The 23,421-nt window shown below is 37.7% G+C and overlaps 1 protein-coding gene across 3 annotated transcripts in view, besides 2 other annotated features; it reads left to right on the top strand.

The window, feature by feature from the left end:
* Positions 1-6,908, top strand: part of SYDE2 (synapse defective Rho GTPase homolog 2) — a 48,526-nt gene extending 41,618 nt beyond the window's left edge. For 2 of the 3 annotated variants that reach the window (NM_032184.2, XM_017002484.3), the window contains one exon: positions 150-2,510. In NM_032184.2, the coding sequence (NP_115560.1) occupies positions 150-649 (500 nt within the window). In that variant the 3' untranslated portion in view covers positions 650-2,510. Of the gene's footprint in view, positions 1-149 lie in introns of all 3 variants that reach the window. The other variant, XM_017002483.2, reaches the window with a different exon arrangement.
* Positions 6,068-6,569: an enhancer, noted in NCBI's record as "NANOG hESC enhancer chr1:85618513-85619014 (GRCh37/hg19 assembly coordinates)". NCBI's record gives its function as "activates a minimal SCP1, AML or CMV promoter by ChIP-STARR-seq in naive H9 embryonic stem cells {active_cell/tissue: H9 hESC(naive)}" and the evidence as "EXISTENCE:reporter gene assay evidence [ECO:0000049][PMID:30033119]".
* Positions 10,444-10,573: an enhancer, noted in NCBI's record as "active region_1266". NCBI's record gives its function as "activates an Ori minimal core promoter by ATAC-STARR-seq in GM12878 lymphoblastoid cells {active_cell/tissue: GM12878}" and the evidence as "EXISTENCE:reporter gene assay evidence [ECO:0000049][PMID:35858748]".

Raw genomic sequence — 23,421 nt, 5'->3', positions numbered from 1 at the left:
ATTATGGAATGCTTTCTTTTGACAGAGTGCATGTTTTTGTTTTAATGCATGTTTGTAGTTGATGATTAAATGGCTTATCTTTAGCTCTGTTTTTTTTTTAAGTTCAGTTGGATTACTGTCACTAAAGCAAAATTATTGTTTGTTTCTAGTGCAGCGTTTAACTGTCAAAAAATCAACAGACAATTTATTCCCAGAGCAGAAGTCTTCTCTGAATTATCTGAGGCAGAAGAAAGAACGACCTCATATGTTAAATTTGAGTGGTACTGATTCATCAGGAGTACTTAGGCCAAGGCAAAACCGATTAGACAGTCCACTTAGCAATCGTTATGCAGGAGACTGGAGCAGCTGTGGGGAAAACTACTTTTTAAATACAAAAGAAAATTTAAATGATGTGGATTATGATGATGTCCCTTCAGAAGATAGAAAAATCGGAGAAAATTATAGCAAAATGGATGGGCCAGAAGTAATGATTGAACAGCCAATTCCCATGTCCAAAGAGTGTACATTTCAGACATATTTGACAATGCAGACAGTTGAGTCTACAGTGGATCGAAAAAACAATCTCAAAGATCTACAAGAAAGTATTGATACTTTGATTGGAAATCTGGAACGTGAGCTCAACAAAAACAAGCTTAATATGAGTTTTTGAGATTGAGGGTTTTTTTTTGTAATGTCTTAAAGTTTCAAATCTGTTTTTGTTTTATTTTCTTATACCACCCACAGCGATGTTTTCATTTTTTTACTCTTGAAATCTTTAATTAATTTTTAATAAGTTTATCTGATTCAATTAAAAACACTATTCATTAATACAATTTTTACTTATCTCACTAGAAAACTTTTCTGGGGATCAATAAAACTTGGACTTCTTGGGATATTTTACTAAATCTTGCCAACTCTATGGAGATAACTTTCAAATGCACTTAAGAAGGTTCACATAAGTTATTAGCCCCTCAAGGTTTTTCTGCTTTATGGGAACCACTCTTCTGTAGCTGAGACAGATGTCCTTTTTTTTGTTGTTTTTTGAGACAGAGTCTCACTCTGTCGCCCAGGCTGGAGTGCACTGGTGCGATCTCAGGTCACTGCAACCTCCACCTCCCTGGTTCAAGTGATTCTCCTGCCACAGCCTCCCGAGTAGCTGTGATGACGGGGCCCACCACCATGCCCAGCTAATTATTGTATTTTTAGTAAAGATGGGGTTTCACCATGTTGGCCAGGCTGGTCTCGAACTCCTGATCTCAGATGATCCGCCCACCTTGGCCTCCCAAAGTGCTGGGATTACAGGCGTGAGCCACTGCGCCTGGCCTCTAGATGTTCTTTTAGAGGAACATCACAGCTGCTCAGTCTGATTTGCAGTACTGGTCCTGGTACACTGCAACATCCTTTGGTCAAATTTTATTTGTAATGCAAATGCTGCTATAAGAAAATCTTTTTATAAATAAAAGTGAAATTATACAAGTATTAATGTTTTCTGTATTAACAGTAATTATTTAAGCTTATAAAAATTAAATATTTTTATAATCCTGAAACTGTATATATTTATAAATGCATATATGTATAGATATCAGGATGGGGGAGGGGTTATTGTAGAATCACATGTATTTTTAAAGTATATATGTCATGAGGCCAAAATTATTATCTTAAAGTATTTTTTTCAGGGAAAGAACATTTAAATTAAAGGAGGAATTACATAAAAACACTTGAACAATAATACTCTAGAAGCATCTGAATAGAAATAATAGACTTTCTTTCCTTTATTCACAGAAAGTCACAATGTCCCCTGGGAAAAGTCATCTTTTAAATTTGAAATCCTCTAACTCCTTAAGGGATTAAGTACCCAGATTTCTGCACTGGTGACTTAGATTTAATAAATCTGCTCCTGTTCTATGCATTTTTATATTCTGCTTTGTTTTAATTATTTATTTGTAGTAGTACATTTATAACATTGACTTTATAATTACCCCCATTTGTTTCTAAATAGTCTTGCCAGCATATTACATGTTACTGATTTTTAAAAATTAACTTATTTTGGCTAAGTATATATACAATGTTATAGAATCACAGTAATGTTTGAAAATGTAAATTTAGAAGGCTTTTGTATTAAATCAAAATGTATTTTTTTAACTTTTATATCTACAGAATATGTAATTTTAAAATTATAAATAGACTTTAAGTTACCAACTTTTAAGACATGGCAGCCATTGAAAAACTGGCTTCCTGATGTTTTTCTAAATATTAAAGTACTTAAAATATTTCTATGCAATAAATATTGATAAACAGACATTATTTAATTTGAAAACCCATTGTTAAAAAAGATAAATATTTTTATATGAAATTTTCATTTTTTAAAACTTTGTGTTAACAATTCAGAAGAATACCAAGAGAACATATATATTGAGTAAACAGTCAAAGGAAAGTACTCTTGAATGTTTTATAGGAAAGCTGTCTCAGTTTCCTTCCTTTTGTTGCTATATCATGTATGAATTGAATAAATTGCTCTAGAAATGTAAAAATTTTATTAAAATATTATAATCTTCGTGTTATGCTATTATAATGGTTTTAAGGATCACTTATTTTAATATTCTTTTTAAGCAAAGGTGTTAAAATTTTGGACCATCATGTATTATCCATCAATATATGTAAATAACATTTATTTGTCCAGAATTTTCCAGAATCTGAAATACTTTTAAGGGCCATGCTTGTATTACTATATTACTATATTATTTTGGATGAGAATAGTTTTAAAGTTGATCTCTGCCCTCTTAGAGAATTCTATCATTTTTTTGTTGTCTCATCACCGAGTTATAGCTATAAACTGCTTTTATTGACTCTGCTGTACCAGAAGTGTTGGATAAGTTTAGATGTCTTTACTTTAAATGGCATTTTACTTCAAATATTTTTTGCGAGTTTTTATACCTGCTTTTTATAATTTCCTAGGATCTTTCTGTAGTGTCAACTGTTGCTCCTTTCTGAGGCTGCCAGCTTTAATTTTTCTTTTTCTTTTCTTTTTTTTTTTTAATAGAGACAAGATCTCAGTATATTGCCCAGGCTGGTCTCAAATTCCTGGGCTCAAGCGATCCACCCGCCTCAGCCTCCCAAAGTGCAAGGATTACAGGCGTGAGCCACTATGCCCAGCCCCTAATGTTTTTTAGGATTAAAAACAATTTTAATTTTAGAGCATGTACCTGAATAAAAATTCTAAACAATTCAGATGGATAGAAAATAAAAGTACAAGTGTTTCTGTCTGCCATCCACACCAATTTCACCTCTTAGAGGTTAACAGCACGTTTCTTGCTGCTGTTTCTTATCATTTAAGCCAAATTTGTTATTCTATGAATGATAAACAGTTTATCTCACTTCATTCCTTCTCACCATTTTTGTTATGTTTTTAGTTCATTTGTTCTCCTTTATAACTGTAGTTAATAATTTTTTTGATCCATTGACTTTAAATATATTTCCATAACATTGAGGAAATGACCAACCTTGTACTTCCCTTCCATTACTGTCCTTTACCTCCTAACTTCTCTTAAGTTATACTATTAGTTTATATAATCAGTTTTAATAGATGTATAGTTTTCCCTTTATACTGTATATTTATTTGTATATTGTATATACTGTATACTGTATATTTATTCTAAACACTGCAAATCAGTAACTAGCAGTCACACTATGCAAAAGTATGCACAGGTAAACCAGGTGATTTATCTCCTTCTATGTATCTATCTTATATCCTTAAGTCTGTGCTGATTTAAGCAGAATGCTTCATACATAAAGGCCAAATGGATTCTTTTATAGCCAGTCGTCAACTTCCCCAAATCATGCCATGTGTCATTTGCTACGTAATTGGGTCATGGCTTTTGCATACTTTAATGGTTCCTGGAGTAAGTAATTGCTTTTATTTCTTTTTTTTTAAAAAAAATCTTTCAATAGAGACGGGGTATTGTTATGTTGCCAGGACTGGTCTCAAATTTGTAGGCTCAAGCGATCCTTTCCGCCTCAGTCTCCCAAAGTGCTGGGATTACAGTATGAGCCACTGCTTCCAGCCTGCTTTTATTTCTCGACAGAAGAAAAACACTTGCTTTACTGTAGCTCTTCTTTTAATCATACTATTGAATTACCAGATTTGTTCAGAGTGCTTTTAGCTCTCATCTTGGGATTCTGGAACTATATTCTTGTCTTTATTTTTCTTTGACAGAATTGACAGGAAGGAAGGAAGTATGTTCTTCACTCTAACCCCGAGATCATTTTATGCTTCTTAATCAGCTTCATCAAATTAGGACAAAGTGATTTTTAGCTATCATCTTGGGATGTATTTTCTTTGTACTCCTATTTTTTTTTTCTTTCTTTTCTTTCTTTTCTTTTTTCTTTTTCTTTTCTTTTTTTTTTTTTTTTGCTGCATTCTTTCTTGAATTTGTCTTTTCTGTTTGCTGAAGTATATTTACAGGTGCCTTTTTTTCCCCCAGAAAGGGTGCATGGGAGAGAAACTAGGAGTCCTTGTGTGTTTGACAAGGCCTTTATTTTTTCCTCACACTTTATTTTTATTGGGCCTGCAGTTCTATGTTCAAACTCATTTTTCTTTAGAATTTTGAAGACATTTCACTATTACCTTCAAGCATCCAGTTTTGCAGTAGTCCAGGCTAGAAAGATTCGGACAAGGATAGAAACAATAGAGATGGTGAGATATGGTTGGATTCTGGATATATTTTGAAGCAGGAGCTAAAAGAATCTGCCAGTGGACTATGAAAGGAGTAGGGCCTGAGCAGCTGAATGATGGAGCGCCATCAAATGAGATTGAAATGACTCCATGTTTTTTCAGTGAGTTCCTTCTATTGGACGTTGGTGTTGTTAATATAGTAGTTATTAAAATGTCTTATAATGTCCTGTTAACGATTAGTACTAATGCCTCTGTACTTGGTGATGGTGCTCATAGAGTTACTACTAGAATAAGAAGGCCAGAAGAGGTTGCAGTGAGCCGAGATTGCGCCACTGCACTCCAGCCTGGGCGACAGAGCGAGACTCCGTCTCAAAAAATAAAAAATGAAAAATAAATAACTGTCTGGAAAATTTTAGATTATGTAGCTTTACATGTTAGGGACCCTAAAGAAACAAGGTTGAGTACTGGTAGGGTCCCTGAAAAGAATTTAGTTTCCAGACCACAGATTGAGTTTGATGGTTAAGATTTTATAAATTAAATATATCAATTTTTAGGTACTTTGGTATGATAAAGTTGTATTATGATTAATAATAACAAGTCTTAATTTGAGGCTTACTCACTTGAGGACTTTGGTACAAAAATGCTCTTTTGCTGTTTTTCCTGACCAATTTTCACTCTGAATGCAAAAGGGTCATATGTGATAAACACTGAAGTGCCACAAGTCAGATTTCTTGATTGCATTCTGCCTCAGCCTGAAATGGACTTGCTAACTCAGGCAGAAATTGAATTTGTTGAGAAAATAGTGTATCAAAGGGAAGACTTTGAGGGTGCTGAAAGTCTTTTATATTTTGGTCTAGGTGGTGGTTTCATAGGTGTTTACATATCAGGTTGCATACTTAAGATTTGTGCCCTTTATATGTCATACCTCTTTTTAAATTTTTTTTAATGGGCAAGCTTGAGAAATAGACTTGGAAAAGAAACAGAAACTAAGAGAGGCTAGGTCGTCAGAATGACAGCAATCAAGGCCATACCTGGTTATGACACTGCTGTTGCTGTCACTGTCACTAAGCAGCCTCATGTACTCCCCACTGGAGTTAGTTAGAAAACATCCTCATTCTCCATTACTCCTGATTCACAGTCCCAGACAGAAGCATGAGATTGTACTCCAGCTTCCAGGAGGCAGAGAGGAATTAGCTTGCATCCTTTCTTAGAATTTACATAGTAAGTAGATTCTATGATCGCAGAAGGAGATTTGGATGCCGAGCAGGCAAAACAGTGACAAATATACACAACACTTTCCTAATCATCTGAACCCTGTTGCTCCAAAATTGGAGTCTTTCTTACCCTGTCCCCCCTGTATATCCCAGCCATCAACAGGTCTAAGTGCTGTGTGTCTTAAACTGCATTGGAGTTTGTCACTGCTAATACCCTAGTCCAAGCCACCATCATCCCTCAATCTCATATTTCCTCTCTGCTATCACTCTCCCCTCTCTACACCCACGATCCAGTCTATTCATGGAAGCTACTATGAAAAAGATATACTGCATCATTTCCTAGGCCTTCTCCCTTGCTCCCTGGCTCTAGCAACACTGGGGACCCTCATTGCTGTCTGAGGCTCTCTGCTCTTGCCATTGCCCCTGTCTGGAAAGCTCTTTATCCAGATGTTACTTAAGCAGTTCCTTTTTGTCATTCGCTTCTCTGCTCAAATGTCACTTCAAAGAGCCTGCTTCTGAACAGCCTGCTCTGAGAATAAGGGGAAGAAGCAGATGGAGATTTCTGGGTTTTTTTGTAATAAATGCTATTAATAAATACTTATGGTACTATCTGACTAAACTGCAGATATTTATCACTTTGGTAAATGTTTACATTTAAACCAAATTTAAGAAGAAAAATGTTTAAAAAACTACACCCACATCCATTGTCACTTTTTGTCTATCACCTGGGCTTCAAGGCTTTATCATTATCTGAAATTATCTCATTTATTTATTTGTTTATTCATTTATTGTCTATGTCCACTCCTGTAGAATGTAATCTCCATGGCAGCAGGGACTTTGTATAACAATCTAGTTCATTGCCATATGCCTAGGGACTATAACATAGAAGCTGTTCAATTAATTGTTAATCAATGAATAACTGTAATAAGATACTTGAGAATGGTTGTCTTTTTGTTAGGAAAAGACTAAGTACTATAATCGCAATGTCTACATAATTTTAAAAATATTCACTCCTGAGTAATAAATTATTTGTGGTTAAGAGAGTAATGTTATCTCTTTTTTAAAAATGGCTTGTCTTTTTTATAGTTAAAGTGGTCTTGGGAAAATTAATGACTACAAGTCGGTGGGTAAATTTGGGGTGATTTTTTGTAGCATTTCTTTGCTGCAGAACACAGTCGAAACAATTATTTATGTGATATGTGTATGAAAATGCACATCTCACCATGACAAAGAAACATCTTTAAGAAATATTTTGTTAAAATGCATCATTTCTTTATAGAAATCATAAAGAGCAAAATATATCCTCTTAATTTTGACCTAATTTACTTCATATGCACTTTCTCTAGAACTGGAAAAAACTATTTTTCATTTTGTTAAAACATTTTCATAAACTTGAATGAACCCTATAAGTAGAACTCTTCCTTATTAGAAAAAATAGCAGAGAAACCACTTTGAGGGACAGGCACTACATTTAATGTTTTTATTTTCCTCAATGTCAAGTGCTTGTTTTAAGCAATGAGAAAATGCGTAAACATTGCCCTTGGGTTGGGTTAACTTCATTCTTATTTGTTTCATAAGGCCACTTGACATGCTTTTAAGTTATTTGGGTTAATCTGGCTTTCTTGCTTAATGGAGGTATAGATGTAGTAGAAACTTGGTGTTGCCCTCTATATTCTATATACTTTGGAAATTCCACTCTTCAAAATAATTTTCCAAAGAGAGTTTAAAATTTCAACTTTAGAAAAGTGCAGTACACATTTAATGAAGAAACAGGAAAGCCCCTCACATTCAAGACTTTTTTGTGTGAAAGTTATGAAACAGCATGCCTGCAGCTCACATTTTTTTCACAGCTGCAGATATTGAACGGTGACCCCTTGTTCTTGACCTTTGTTCAAGAAACGAGATGCAGGTTGCCAGCCTGTTTGCGTCTGTTTTTGCCTTTTCTCCCCCTGTGGCCATTGTAAAACCCACTCTTTAACCTAAGAGCAAGTTTGAATCGTTAGGTAAGTGAAAACTACTTGTCTAGGCTGGTAGATAAGAAATGTCAGAGCATAAAGTGCCATCTGTCCAAGGTTATAAATCTACATTTGATCTGTACTCTATATCAAATTCACCTATAAAGCCAAGGAAATATACATAAAAGAAGCCATACCAGTGTCTTTTCCCTCAACGTTTATGAACACTTTCAACTTTATAGAAAAATTGAAAATTTTATGGTGAATACCCATATATCTAGCATCCAGATTCTATAATTTATAAGCTTTTTGTTATATTTGCTCAATCACATATCTATCCATTATTTGTCATATTTTTTTGTGCATTTCAAAGTAAGTTGCAGGCATCAGGACATTAGGAAAAGACTAAGTACTATAATCGCAATGTCTACATAATTTTAAAAATATTCACTCCTGAGTAATTATTTGTGGTTAAGAGAGTAATGTTTTATCTCTTTTTAAAAAACGACTTGTCTTTTTTTTATAGTTAAAGTGGTCTTGGGAAAATTAGTGACTACAAGTCAGTGGGTGGGTAAATCAGGATATTTCACAGTAAGTGTCATTTTGGAAGCCAAAAAAAAAGATTCAATTGTTGGTGAACTTTGTGTGATTATAATTAACCTCTAAAAGATTTGTGGTATTAGTTCATCACAAATCTTAGAATTCATCACTGTTAGAACCAACATTGCTATTAATAGCTTCTAAAAAGTAATGAATATTTTGTATTCATTTGTATACAAGTAATGAATATCTTGTAATTATTTCTTTTTTTTGAGATGGAGTCCTGTTCTGTCACCCAGGCTGGAGTGTAGCGGTGTGATCTCGGCTCACTGCAACCTCTGCTTCCCGGGTTCAAGCAATTCTGTCTCAGCCTCCTGAGTAGCTGGGATTACAGGCACGTGCCACCACACCCAGCTAATTTTTGTATTTTTAGTACAGCTGGGGTTTCACCATGTCGGCCAGACTGGTCGTGAACTCCTGACCTTAGGTATATCTTGTAATTCTTACCAAATTACTTTTAGCTATCCTAGACTCCCATCATTCACAGACAACCTGCACAATTTCTACCATATTTAAATACTGTGTGTAATATTACTTTATTTTATCTAAAATTATTTTTTCAATTGAAAAAAATTGAAATGTAAAACTTCACACTGCTGCCATATATGGAAAACCAGTATCACTTGTCATTAACGAGTTAAACAGTTTTTTCTATACACTAAAATGAATTCACAACTATTGAGATAATTAAGGTGTGAGCTCTATGTACAGTTATGTACACCTTAACATGCATACCACACTTTGGGAAATACTGAGTTTAGTCTCTGCTATGGTCTGGATATGGTTTGTTTGTCTCCACCAAATCTCTTGTCAAAATTTAGTCCTCAGTGTGGTGTCTTGGGAGGTGAAAGTTGTTTGGGTCATGGAGGCAGATTCCTCATGAATAGATTAATGCCCTCCCTGGGAGGTGGAGTAAGGAGTGAATTCTCACTGTATTCATTCCAATACAGCCAGTTGTTAAAAATAGCCTAGCACTTCCTTGCACACTCTCCCTCCACCACCACCCCTTCCTCGCCACGTGACCTGTGCATACACTGTCTCTCCTTCACCTTCTCCTGTGAATGGAAGCAGCCAGCAGCCCTCACCCAATCTTGAACTTTCTGGCCACCAGAATCATGAGTCAAATAAACCTTTTTCCTTTATAAATTGCTTAGCCTCAGGTTTTCCTTTATAGCAACACAAAGTGGACTAAGACAATCTCCATCTTTTCTATCACAAATGTTGGGACACAAGAAAAGTCAAAGCTGCATTGAAAGTTGAACACACAGATAACACCAGTCTGTTTTCTTTTTAAGGAACAAAAGCACCATGTCTAGGTAAGACACTTGACTAATTCCCACCCGGAGCTGGCGATAGAGAGAGTGAAAGGTCTCCTATAGCAGGGTTGGGGAGGGTCTGTCTGCAGTCTGAGATTGTGTCCCAAATGGGGCCCATTCTTCATGAACCCTGTAGGTTCCACACTGGCAGGAACAGAGCTAAAGCCCAATTCTTACAGCCTGCATTTCTGCCTTGAGGACTTCTCAGTGCTGTTTCCCTGAACACATTTTTTTTTTTTTCATTTTGTTTCCTCTCACACTTTTAACCCTTTCCTACCAGCATATTTTCGCCTGAACTACCAACATAGGGTTGGTAGGAAACCACCAAAAATGTATCTTTCCTTCCTAAGATTAGAACCAGGGCATAGGAGCCAGACATAGAGATCAAAATACCAAATTTACTTTTGACAAAGGTAAGCTGGAGAATATGACTTGGGTCTATGGCCAAGTGGGCTTCTTCATATATCCTCTGTGATCTGATCATCCCCACCTAGTCACTGGTGGAGTTAATGAAAAAAGACCTCTCCTGGCATGGGCAGAGGCTGTCAGCACCATAAAAGTATGTATTACCAACAGGCTGGTGTGTGGTGAGAGAATGCAGAAGGCCCCTAGCCAAGCATGCTCAAGTTCTTCTCAATTCACTACTCAGATGAGTCATTCTTTGTGACTTGGGGAACAGTAAATTAGGGGTTTAAAGAGAAGCTGGAAGTGATTCTCTCATACTCTTTTCTCTTGAGAAGTAGCTAAATCCCCTCCCTTTTATGGAAATGGTAAAAGCACAGGATGTTATCCTCTAAAAATGACCACCTATTGCTTCCTCTTAATAAAGGACCAAATGTCACAAGATAAACTTTGGGACCCTTTTGTAAATGGAGCAGGAAGTGGAAATGCTGAACTGCACATAGGCAGTCAAAAAAAAAAAAAAAAAACCACACACACACATAAAGATTTTCCAGGTAATCACTAGGCAATTGCTGCCATGGGGCACCCAGTTAATTTGCAAAGTGGTCAAAGCAGCATATTCTCACCTCTTTTGGTAAATCCTTTCCCCTCAGGCCCCAGTGGCCATGTGCCACCTCTGGCTGCCTTGGGCCTCAGATATCCCAAGCAGTCTTGCCTTTCCTTCCTGTGCCCAACAGAATCTGTCTCCTCCTTCTCTACCTCCAGGGAAATCTTGCCTTCCATTTGGTTTTACAATCTTGCCTGGAAGAATGTGCTCTCATCACCTGATTCAAATGCTAAAGTGTTAATGATGGATAGGGTTTATTTGTACTTTATTTTAAAATGGGAGCATATTAAACTATGCCTAAGAAAGTACTGGAAGTATTCCTTAGGTTCTGTTGGTTCTTTTTGCTAACTGTGGGGTCCCTCGATGCTCCTGCTACAGTTCCATGTTATGTTCACTTCTGAAAGACTGTTGGCTTTTGTATTAGCCATCTCAACTTCTCAGGTCTACTTTCAGCTTCAGCCAGTAGGGAACAGTACTTAAGCCATTATCAGCCATATCCTTAATGCATTTAAACAGGGCCTAGGTCACAAGGAGGTTGTTGGGCTTCTAACAAATCACCTAGTGGAAATTTTATGAAAGTCAGAATTGCATATGTAAATTTTTAAAATATACATACACATACGAAGGACTAACCAAAACAACTTTGAAAAAGAACAGAGTTGGAGGACCAACATTATCTGATTTTAAGGTGACTTATAAAGTGACAGTAATCAAGATGGTATAGTAATGGCATCAAAATAGACAAATCAATAGAATAAAAGTTCAGAAATAGATTCATACATATACGGACAACTGATTTTTGATGAGACAATTCAGTGAAGAAAGAATAGTCTTTTCAACAAATGGTGCTGCAACAATAAAATATTTGCATGAAAAAAATGCTTTGATCCACATCTCATACCATATGTAAAAGTGAACTCAAAATACATAATAGACCTAAATGTAAAGCCTAAAAGTATAAAACTTCTAGAAGAAAACCTTGGATTATGCACAGATTTCTCAGATTGGTCACCAAAAACATGATACATAAAATTTTTTTTTTTTAATAAACTGAACTTCATCAAATTTACAAACTTCTGCACTTTGAAAGACCCTGTTGAGAGAATAAGAAGATGAACCACATTGGGAGTATATATTTGCATATATCTGATAATGGCTGGCATCTGGGATGTATAAAAAATTCCAAAACCTCAATAATAATTAAAAAAACACTCCCCTTGCTCCCTGCAATGAGCAAAATACATGAACAAACACTTCATGAAAGAGTATATATGAATGGCAAATGAAGACATGAAAATTAACCACTATCATTAGTCATTAGGAAATGCAAATTAAAACCACAAAAAGATACCACCACACAGCAATTAGAATGGCTAAATTTGAAAACAGTGACCCTACTGGCAAGAATGTGGAAGAAATGAGACTCTCATATACTGCAGGTGGGAATGTAAAATGGCACAACCACTTTTATTTAGTATTATCTTTAAAAAGTCAACATATACATACCACAGAATCCAGACATTCCATTCCTAGATATTTATCCAAAAGAAATGAATGCATATGTCTGTAAGGAAAACTTGTACAGAAGTTATCATAGCAGACTAATTTGTAATAGCAAGATACTCATCTGACAAAGGTCTAATATCCAGAATCCACAAGGAATTTAAACAATTTTACAAGAAAAAAAACAACCCCATCGAAAAGTGGGCAAAGGATATGAACAGACACTCCTCAAAAGAAGACATCTATGCAGCCAACAAACATGAAAAAAAGCTCATCATCATCACTGGTCGTCAGAGAAATGCAAATCAAAACCACAATGAGATACCATCTCACACCAGTTAGAATGGCGATCATTAAAAGGTGAGGAAACAACAGATGCTGGAGAGGACGTGGAGAAATAGGAACGCTTTTACACTGTTGGTGGGAATGTAAATTAGTTCAACCACTGTGAAAGACAGTGTAGCAATTCCTCAAGGATCTAGAACCAGAAATACCAGTTGACCCAGCAATTCCATTACTGGGTATATACCCAAAGGATTATAAATCATTCTACTATAAAGACACATGCACATGTATGTTTATTGCAGCACTATTCACAATAGCAGACTTGGAACCAACCCAAATGCCCATAGACTGGGTAAAGAAAATGTGGCACATATACACCATGGAATACTGCGCAGCCATAAAAAAGGAGGGGTTCATGTCTTTGCAAGGACATGAAGCTGGAAACCATCATTCTCAGCAAACTAACACAGGAACAGAAAACCAAACACTGCCTGTTCTCACTCATAAGTAGGAGTTGAACAATGAGAACACATGGACACAGGGAGGGGAGCATTATACACCAGGGCCTGCCAGGGGCCTGGGGGCTAAGGGGACAGATAGCATTAGCAGAAATACCTAACGTAGATGACGGGTTGATGGGTGCAGCAAACCACCAGGACACGCATATACCTATGTAACAAACCTGCATGTTCTGCACATGTATCCCAGAACTTAAAGTATAATAAGAAAAAGAAAAAAAAAGTATATTATCTAGATGCATCTATTTAAATTTAATGGGTATTAAATTTATTAAACATACCTACAAAATCTAAGTAAGACATGAATTTAAAAAAAGAACAGTGCCTCACACTGTAATAGGAAATGACAGCTATTGCTATTAGGAGTACGGCATCTATTAACAGTTTCCAGCAGTAAACACAACCATTATCAAATAATAAAGACCTATTATAAAAATATTCAAGCAACAGAGATCTATTAAAATTTTTATCTTTGCTTCAAAATAATATGGAGTGAGGAGTGTAGGTTAAAGATTAGTCATGTACTGATCTTTATAAACGCTGGGGCTGGTAAAAGTCCCCTCTTTGCCTTGCACACTTGTCCCTTCTCCCATTCCATCCCTCAGAAGTAAACATAATGAACACATTGATGGCTACACTTCCAGACTTTTCTATACATACAGAGAAATGTGAATGTTAGTACAAATACACATACACAGTTTTACACAAGTGGGGTCATATTGGATACATTGTTTTGCAACTTGATTTTTCCCTTGATAATTTGTAAACTTCCTTTCTTGTTGGAATGAAGAATGTTCCTCATCACAGCTGAAGGGTCCTTGTCTGATGAACATATTTTGCCATTTTCCTACCGATGGACATGTAGATCCCTTCCGCACATTACAATTTTGTTCTGGCCAATATTTTCTCTCTCTTTTTTCTATTTCTTTTTTTATCATCTGCTTCATTTTTCATTTATCTATTTTCTCTCTTTAGTACCAGAAGTCAACACTTTTGTCAGCTTCTCGGTTAGCACTCCCCACCCACTGATTCCTTGAATGCTCTGAAGACCAATGAATTCCTTATTCTATGAGCCTGACCTTTATAGGCCAAAAAATAGAGAGAGAAATAACAATGAAAGTGAATTTCTACTACTGTTATGTTTAAGTCACAGTGCAGGCTGCTTTTGCTTTCCTGAGAAAGTATGTCAAGTGTTTTTTAAATTCTTTTTTTTTAAATTCTTTTCTTTAAAACCTTATTTTTTTCTTGTTCTTTCTTTTCTCTTTTTTTTTTTTCCTTGCCAGCAGAAAGTGAAGGAGGCACACTTTCAAGTTTGCTTTTTAATCCACAAACTCAACATTTTTTCTTTTCTGTTTACTAAGTCACACAATTCCCTTGGAGGCAGACCTTTATGTGTCCCGTTATTAATGTTTTGTCCTTTATTTTCCACATAAAGTAATAAACTAGTAAGTAAAATCTTTATTAGAATTTCTCTCCAACTTTGGAATCTTTTTATGAGGTTGTAGGAGCCTGAATAATGGTCCCAAAGCCGTCCATGCCCTAATCCCTGGAACCTGTGAATGTTACCTTATGCGGCAAAAAGGATTTGACAGATTAAGTTAAGGATTTTGAGATGGGGAGATTTTCCTGGATTATCTAGATGGGGCCTAAATGTAGTCACAGGAGTTCTTCTGAAAGGGAGGCAAGGGGAGATTTGACTAAAGAAGAGGAGAAGGCAATGTGTAGGTGGAAGCAGAGATTAGAGTGATGCAGCTACGAGCCAGCAAATGCCCACAGTAAGTTGGAGGAGGCAAGGAAGGGGTCTCTCTCCATTGGAGCTTCCAGATGGAACTAGCCCTGCTGGTTTTGCTGGTTTCAAACTTCTGGTCTCTAGAACTGTGAGAGAACAAATTTCTCTTGTTTTAAGGTACAGAGTTCATGGTAGTCTGTCAGGAAATGAATACAGAGCTCTATTCACAATGTTCTGTAATTAATTTTGCTTTTTTTTTTTCAATTTGTTGCTTGTTATTGTTCTTTTTAATTGCTTTTCTTCCCAGTAGTTTGCAGACATCAAAACAAAGTTATATATGTAAAACTGGTGATAAACAATGAGTTTCTAATAGCCTTTCATTATATAAGTAGGGGCTGGTTTAACTCAACTCACCTGCTTTTTGCCCTCCCCGCCGGCACTCTAGCTGCACCAAACTCCTAGGGCCTTGCTTTGATACGGTCCTGAATCTGCAATCCCACTCTCTAGAGGTTTCTGCTATTTATAGGCTTTTTTTTTTTTCACCTTTATCAATTTTTAAGACACATAGCACTTATTTCCTGTTTTCTGTTCTAGGTATTTGAGTACACAGCTTATTGTGTCTACTGGATTGTATGTATTAAAGGCAAGGATACACTATACTTCCTTATCATCTTTCCTGGAACAAAGTAGAAAGAAATAAACCGACTATTTGGGAGGTAATTTCCCAAATAATGGCCCCAAAGAGATTCATGCCCTAATCTCTGGAACCTGTGAATGTTACCTTATAGAGCAAAAAGGATTTGATAGATTTAATTAAGCTAAGGATATTGAGGGGGAGATTGTCCCGGATTATCTAGATGAGCCCTAAATTTAGTCACAGGGATTCTGCTGAAAGAGAGGCAAATGGAGATTTGACTATAGAAGAGGAAAAGGCAATGTGCAGATGGAAGCGGTTATTGACACATTATAGGTATAATAACTAATATTTACTGAGGATCTACTATGTTTCAGACGATGTAATGGGCATTTTATATATTCTGTCTCAGTTTATCCTCACAAGAGCCATGTGAAGTGGTTTTTCCAGTTATCCACTGCTACATAATAAACCGTCCCAAAACCTAGTGGCTTAAAATGATGACAGCATTGGCCGGGTGCTGTGGCTCACGCTTATAATCCCAGCACTTTGGGAGGCTGAGGTGGGCAGATAACCTGAGGTCAGGACTTTGAGACCAGCCTGCCCAACATGGTGAAAGCCTGTCTCTACTGAAAAAAAAAAAAAAAAAAAGAATGCAAAAAATACAAAAATTAGCCGGGTGTGGTGGCGGGAGCCTATAATCCCAGCTACTCAGGAGGCTGAGGCAGGAGAATCACTTGAACCCAGGAGGCAGAGGTTGCAGTGAGCCGAGATCACGCTGCTGCACTCCAGCCTGGGTGACAGAGCAAGGCTCCAGTTCGAAAATAATAATAATAATAATAATAATAATAAATGACAGCATTTGCTTTACTCACCAATGTGCATTTGGACAGGTCAAGGCAGGGAAAGCTCATCTCTGCTCTGCTCTGCGTCAGCTGGGGTAGCTCGAAGGCTCAGGGTTGGAATCATCTGAAGGTTCATTCACTCACATGCCTGGTGGCTGACACTGGCCATGGGCCGAAACCTTATTTGGAGCTGTTGACTGGAACACCTCCATGCTCCCTCTCCGTGAGCTGCCTCACAATGGTGGCTGGGTTCCCAGGGTGAGTGCCCAGTGAGAGAGAGCCAGGTGGAAGCTGTCTCACCCTTGATGACCTGGCTTCAGGTGAGATGCAGTGTCATTTCCACAGCATTCTGTTGTTCGAGGAAATCACAAAGTGCCACCCAGTTTCTAGAGGAGGGGAAATGGAGTCTGTCTCTTGATGGGATGTGGCAAGAACCGGTGGAATGGGAAATATTGCTCCACTTTTGAGAATTCCTTCTGCTGCAGCAGAAGCTCATCATGGTTAAATGATTGAAGCTGTAAGTGGCTGAGTGCTCAAAATTCTGACTCCAAAGCCCAGACTATGATTCAGATATTTCTCTATGTGACTTTTAAAGCTATTAATATCACATGATCAATTCCTTTTATAATCTCTAAACAAATTCTTATAAGCACTCTTTATTATTTTTAAACAAAAATTTCTACTGATGCACATAGATGTACGTAGTTTCAGGGTACATATGATCATTTAATACATTTATGTAGTTTGTAAAGATTAATCAGTACACGTGGAATATCCATCACCTTAAATATTTGTCTTTTCTTTATGCCAGAAACATTATTCTCTTCCAGCTATTTTGAAATCTACGATAGATTTTATTGACTATAGTCACCCCACTAATCTATTGAACACTAGGTCTTATTTTTTCTATCAAACCATATATTTGTACCCATTAATCAACTTCTCTTCACCCATACCACCCCCTCACCTTCCTGGACTCTGGTAACAACCAATCTGTTCTCCATCTTCATGAGATCCACGTTTTTAGCCCCCACAAATGAACTAGTACATGTGATATTTTTCTGTGCTTGTTTTATTTCATTTAACATAACCTCAAGTTCCATCCATGTTGATGCAAGTGGCAAGATTTCATTCTCTTTTATGGCTAAATAATATTCCACTGTGTGTACCACATTTTCTTTATCCAGTCATCTGTCGATAGGCACTTAGGTTGATTCCATGTTTTGGCTGTTGTGAATACGGCTGCAATAAACATGGGAGTGCAGATGTCTCTTTGATATATTGATTTCCTTCCTTTTCAGGATCTACCCAGTGGTGGAATTGCTGGATCATATGGTAGTTCTATTTTCAGTCTTTTGAGGAACCTCCAAACTGTTCTCCACAGTGGTTGTACTAATTTACATTCCCACCAGCAGCGTAGTTCTTCTTTCTCTACATCTTTGCCAGCATTCATTATTGCCTGTCTTTTTGATAAAAGCCACATTAACTGGGGTGAAATGCTATTTCATTGTGGTTTTGATTTGCATTACTCTGATGATTAGTGATGTTGATCATTTTTTCATATACCTGTTGGATTTGTCATCTTTTGAGAAATGCCTATTCAGATATTTTGCCCATTTTTTAATCCGATTGTTCTTTTGCTATTCAGTAGTTTGAGCTCCTTATATATGCTGGTTATTAATCTTTTGTCAGATTGGTAATTTGCAAATATTTTCTCCCATTCTGTGGGTTGTCTCTTCACTTTGCTGACTGCTTCCTTCGCTCTGTGAAGCTTTTTAGCTTGATGTAATCCCATTTAGTCTATATTTACTTTGGTTGCCTGGAGCACTGTTCATTTTTCCATAGGAGGACTATATGTGAATACTTTTTCAAATGTGTATAGATGCTGTTGTGCTGCATAACATACTAATTCATAGACCATTTTTGAATTTTTGGTAGCTTTTTATCCAGGGAAAGGGAATATCATTTTCAAGGAAGCAGAGGTGAGAGGATATAGCATGTGTGGAGAACAGCATGGAGTGAAATGGCTAGAGCAGAAGTAGGGGAGAGCAAGGCTGTAAGAGATGAGTTTACAAGCAAGTAGGGCCATGCCACAGGAAGGCAAAGAGATTAGACCCAATCCCCGAGGCAAGGAGGAGCCATTGAAATGTTGTGAGCAGGGAAGTGAAGGATTTCAGGCCTGATTTTTAAATGACCACTTCGGCTTCAGTGCTGAGAATTTAAAAGCATAGGATTTGGAGTGATATGTAAATCTCAATTCACCCACTTACTGCATAATTTGGAATTTGCTTAGAATATTTTATGCTCGTTCAATCTGTAGACGCAGGTATTTTCAATTCAGGAAAGGTTTTTTTCCTTTTGATGTCTTTGGCTTTTTAATTTTCCTGGTGTCTTATTAACAGTGCATAGATTTAAGTTCAAATCCTGGGTTCCAACTGAGAGTTGGGCACACCTGTTCTAGTAAGACGGCGTGCTCTCTAGTCTGCCCGGGTTCATCAGGATGGGCTTAGCTAATGGCATAACAAATAAACCCTGAAGTCTCGGTGGTTTAATATGATAAAGGGTTATCACCTGCTTGTGAAAAGTCTGATACAGAATGAGAAACTTTTCTCTACTTTGTAAATTATGGCCTCTGGAACACATAGCATGGGGAGATGAAGTTGGAAGGTTTCATGAGATGAGTTAAAGTCAGGCCTGGAGTGGCTTCCGTCACTTCCACCTACATCCTGTTGGCTAGGATTCGGTTAAAGGCTCCAATCTGACTGCAAAGGAGGCTGGTAAATGCAGAGGTACACGTGGATATTTGACCAGCACAAGTGGTTTCTGCCATCTTCCTCCCTGTCCAGATTTTCTGTTACTCTCAATCAATTAAAATTGAGATTCTCATAATGAACTGATGCAGTTTTTTAATTTCAAATTCTGTCTACAGCATATCATTTCTGAGAACTAGACACCTCACAAGTACTCCCTACTTATAGCCCAGGTGTTTTTCTGGAGTTTGCCCTCTCCTGATGCTAAGGTGCCTGTTAGAGAAATGCAGACAAAATTCCAACAGTCTTAAAAAATAAAATGTATGATTGAGTAATGGCTACATGGTTCCCTACTTGACATGGATGGGTTGAAAGGAACATACAGAATGTCATCCTGCCTTTTAAACAAGTGGCTTTCATACGACCAGGTCTAATATTTTTCCCTTTTTCTAAGTTTCAGACTTTAAGATCCATTTGTTTTTATTTTTTATTTTTTTCCTATTCTCATCTGCTGAGAGGACCCACATAACTATTAAACTAATTAGCTACAAATACATGTAAATTATTCATCTAGTAGGGTAAGAGAATGGATATCTTGGTTAGCTGTTTTTTTAGTAGGTACAAGTTTTCACCATGTTGGCCAGGCTAGTGTTGAACTCCTGACTTCAGGTGATCTGCCTGCCTCGGCCACCCAAAGTGCTGGGATTACAGGCATGAGCCACCAAGCCAGGCCAAGCTGACTGTTAATTAAACACTATCAGGAATTACAATGTAATAAAAATATACTACAATAAATATAATTAAACTTCCTTTGATAATTCAAAAGTGACCTCAGAATCCCAAAGGAGTTCAGCATCTATGTAAAATATTTTAATATATATTTTACATATTTTTTTAAACCACTTAGACTTTACAAAGTGCTTTCATATGTTTTATCTTATTTAATCTTTATAATTCCATGCAGTGGGAGTTATTATCCCCATTTGTTGGATGAAGAAATGAATCAGAAAGGTTATTTACCCAACATTACAAAGCTTGAGATGAGCTGTCTTTATACTGATGACCATCAGTCATTACTGTCAGTCCTGCAGACATGAATTCTGACATTTGGATGGACCTTGAATTTGGTTCTACACATGATGATAACTCCTTAATAAAAAGTTGCTTATTTGTCTTTTGTTGTCATAAATGTTCATTGCAGAACTAGAAAATAATGAAGTTCTAGCTATTGGTTGTTAGGATTCTGGATAATTGGGAGTTTATTCTGTTTTGTTTTGTTTTTGAGACAGTCTCACTCTGTCATCCAGGCTGAAGTACAGTGGCACGATCTCAGCTCACTGCAACCTCTCCTTCTCTGGTTCAAGCGACTCTTGTGCCTCAGCCTCCGGAGTAGATGGGATTACAGGCACACACCACCACACCTGGCTAATTTTTTTGTATTTTTAGTAGAGATGGGCTTTTGCCAAGTTGCCTGGGCTAGTCTTGGGGTTACAGGAGTGAGCAACCATGACTGGCCTCTGTTTTATATTTGTTATATTTAGATCCATACAAACTTCACTATAAATGAACAATTGGTATCAATTCAATTGTTAATTTAGCTTTTTTACAAAGGCTGAAATAAAGTAGACACTTTCTTTTCTTTTTTTTTTTTTTTTTTTTTTTTGAGACAGAGTTTTGCTCTCATCGCCTAGGCTGGAATGCAGTGGTGCAATCTCGGCCCACTCCAACCTCCGCCTCCCAGGTTCAAGTGATTCTCCTGCCTCAGCTTCCTGAGTAGCTGAGATTACAGGTGCTCACCACCAGGCCCAGCTAATTTTTTGTATTTTTAGTAGAGACAGGGTTTCACCATATTGGGCAGGCTGGTCTTGAACTCCTGACCTCAGGTGATCCACCTGCCTCGGCTTCCCAACGTGCTGGGATTATAGGTGTGAGCCACCATTCTCAGCCAAAGCAGACACTTTCTGTATTTTAGATTTTACTTAGCATTATTTTCTAAAGTTTTTTTTTTCTCTAAAGGGAATTATTATTCTTAAAAATATGGTTCCTAAAAAGTACTGGAAAATGCATCTCTAGTTGACAGGGAAGAATGTGAAATCTTCTATTTTACAACTTTCTTCCTTTTCTTAAGAAAAAAAAGAATAAAAACATCTCAGAATATCACATATACAGATGAGTTTGGGAAAGCTTATTTTCTGTCTTTTTAAGTTTGGAGCATTGGCATTGTAGAAAAACACAACCTATATTATCTGTCATACTCACCGTCTATGCTTTTTATGTCATATTTGTTAACAAGAAAGCATTTAAAAGCAATTACACAACTTTTAAAAATCCATCGTTTCCCAATAAGCTCCCAAGGCTGGTTTTGCTGGTGTGCAGGGTTCTGCTCTGACAGTGTGTGCTGTTTCACATGAGCCCGTGCCCGCAGAGAGCTGATCAGCCATGGCAGGAGGAAATTGACCACACAGGGGTTCATCAGCCCTTCACTGAGATATTTAATTTCCGTTGTGAGGACCTTGCTCAGTTGCACAGATCTGCCCTGGCAATGGCAACTTAGCAACCCGGTGGAGCAGCGCCGACCCTGGGCAGCACTCCAAGGTAGAAGGGTGCAGGGAGATGTTAATTATTTACAGTGCTGGATTAGTGAAGCCGTGAAGAGCACCTAGGCCACCATCCAACTGGAGTTAATTGCCTTTTCATCTGAAGTGCACACACACGATGTGCTTATCTGAGGACCTGAAAATATGCTGGTTTAATTACATGTTTCTTGGCGGATAAAAAGCAATTTGTAAAGCTGAATGATCATTAAATTTAATTGAAATTAATCAAATATTAGAATGATCAATTTTCTGAGTAGCATTATCAGTTCTGCAAAAAGGAAAGCTGTTCAAATTTATTTAAATTTTATGTTAAATAGTATGTCCAACACTTGTGGTCTCATATTAAGATGATCAAAGGCTAATATTAAACCAGGCATGGACAGTCACTGCTTAAGTTGCATTTGAGTCTGGGAAACATTCCTGTTATTATTAGTGGCAACAAAAAGTTAAAATCAGAGATTACTACATAGAACAAAGAGGAAACACTACGTTTCTCTGGTGTGTGTGTGTGTGTGTGTCTGTGTGTGCACATACACCTGTGACCAAGCAAGAACAGGCAACAACATTCATTAAGCGCCAACTATATTCCAGGTGCTTTATATACATTGTCTTTGTATGGGGTAGGCTAGGTATTATTATTATCCCCATTTACAGACAAGGCATCTAAGACTTAGGGGATAGTGCAGTTTGCCCAAGGTGATGAAGATGGGATTTGGACTCAGGTCTGCCAGGACCTAAAGACCCCTGTCTTTTCACTACACTGTAGACCAGACCAAATGACTTAAGGTCAGAAGATCAGATCGACTCACAATGGGTGGTAGGGGAAAGGGTTGGAGCTGTGGGGATTGGAAGGAGGCATACCAGTTAATTCTATTTGCATTCACACCTGATATTCCTACATCTTCAGTACAGGTGGTTAGCATCCTCGCTTGAGGCTCAGCTGTGTTCTTTACTGGGATTCAGCATGCCTGGCCTTGTCTGCCAAATGGAAGTTCTGGGCCAAACAAAAGGACCTTAGCTTAAGGGGTTGAAGAGCCTCAGAGAAAACTCATCCCAGAGAAGGAAGAGACATCACTATGAGTTTGTCTGTTTCAAAGTCTTAGTGTCCAAGAGAGGTATCATGAATAATTAAACCACGCTGAGTGGTCTGAGATGAATCGTATCATCTTCTGTCCTTTCCTCTTTTCTTCCATAGGTACCAGACCTGCATGAGCTCTGAAGGCTCTGCCTTGCTTCTTGCACCTCTGCTACTGCCTTGGTGTTTGCTTCTCGCTGAACTTGAACTAACCCAGAAGCATTGTCCCAGCACCTTCCCCCACGTTACAGGCCATTAGGCAGCTCTAGCATTTTGAGAGAAGGGATCCCTGAGTGCCTGGTGGTTGTGGGCTTGAACATATGTGACTCCATCTTCATCCCAGTGGCCACTGGACACACTTGGGGGCACTCTGCAGAAGGCTAGCATACCTGAGAAGCAAGTGGGCCAAGGTCCCATGAAACCTGGGCTATGGCTGCTTATGTGTCCTCTCGGTGGCCACAGGTGATGAGACTCAGGAAAACTGAGGTTATAAACACACAATGAAAACACCACACCAGGTCTGGGAGCAGTAGCTCATGCCTGTAATCCCAGCACTTTGGGAAGCCGAGGCAGGTGGATCACTTGAGGTCAGGAGTTCAAGATCTGCCTGGCCAACATGTGAAACCCTGTCTCTGCTAAAAATACAAAAATTAGCTGGGAATAGTGGCACATGCCTGTAATACCAGCTACTCAGGAGGCTGAGGCAGGGGAATCACTTGAACCTGGGAGGTAGAGGTTGC

The sequence above is a fragment of the Homo sapiens genome, chromosome 1, assembly GCF_000001405.40.
Source record: "Homo sapiens chromosome 1, GRCh38.p14 Primary Assembly".
Lineage (NCBI taxonomy): Eukaryota > Metazoa > Chordata > Mammalia > Primates > Hominidae > Homo > Homo sapiens.
This window is presented reverse-complemented; position numbering and strand designations above follow the sequence as displayed.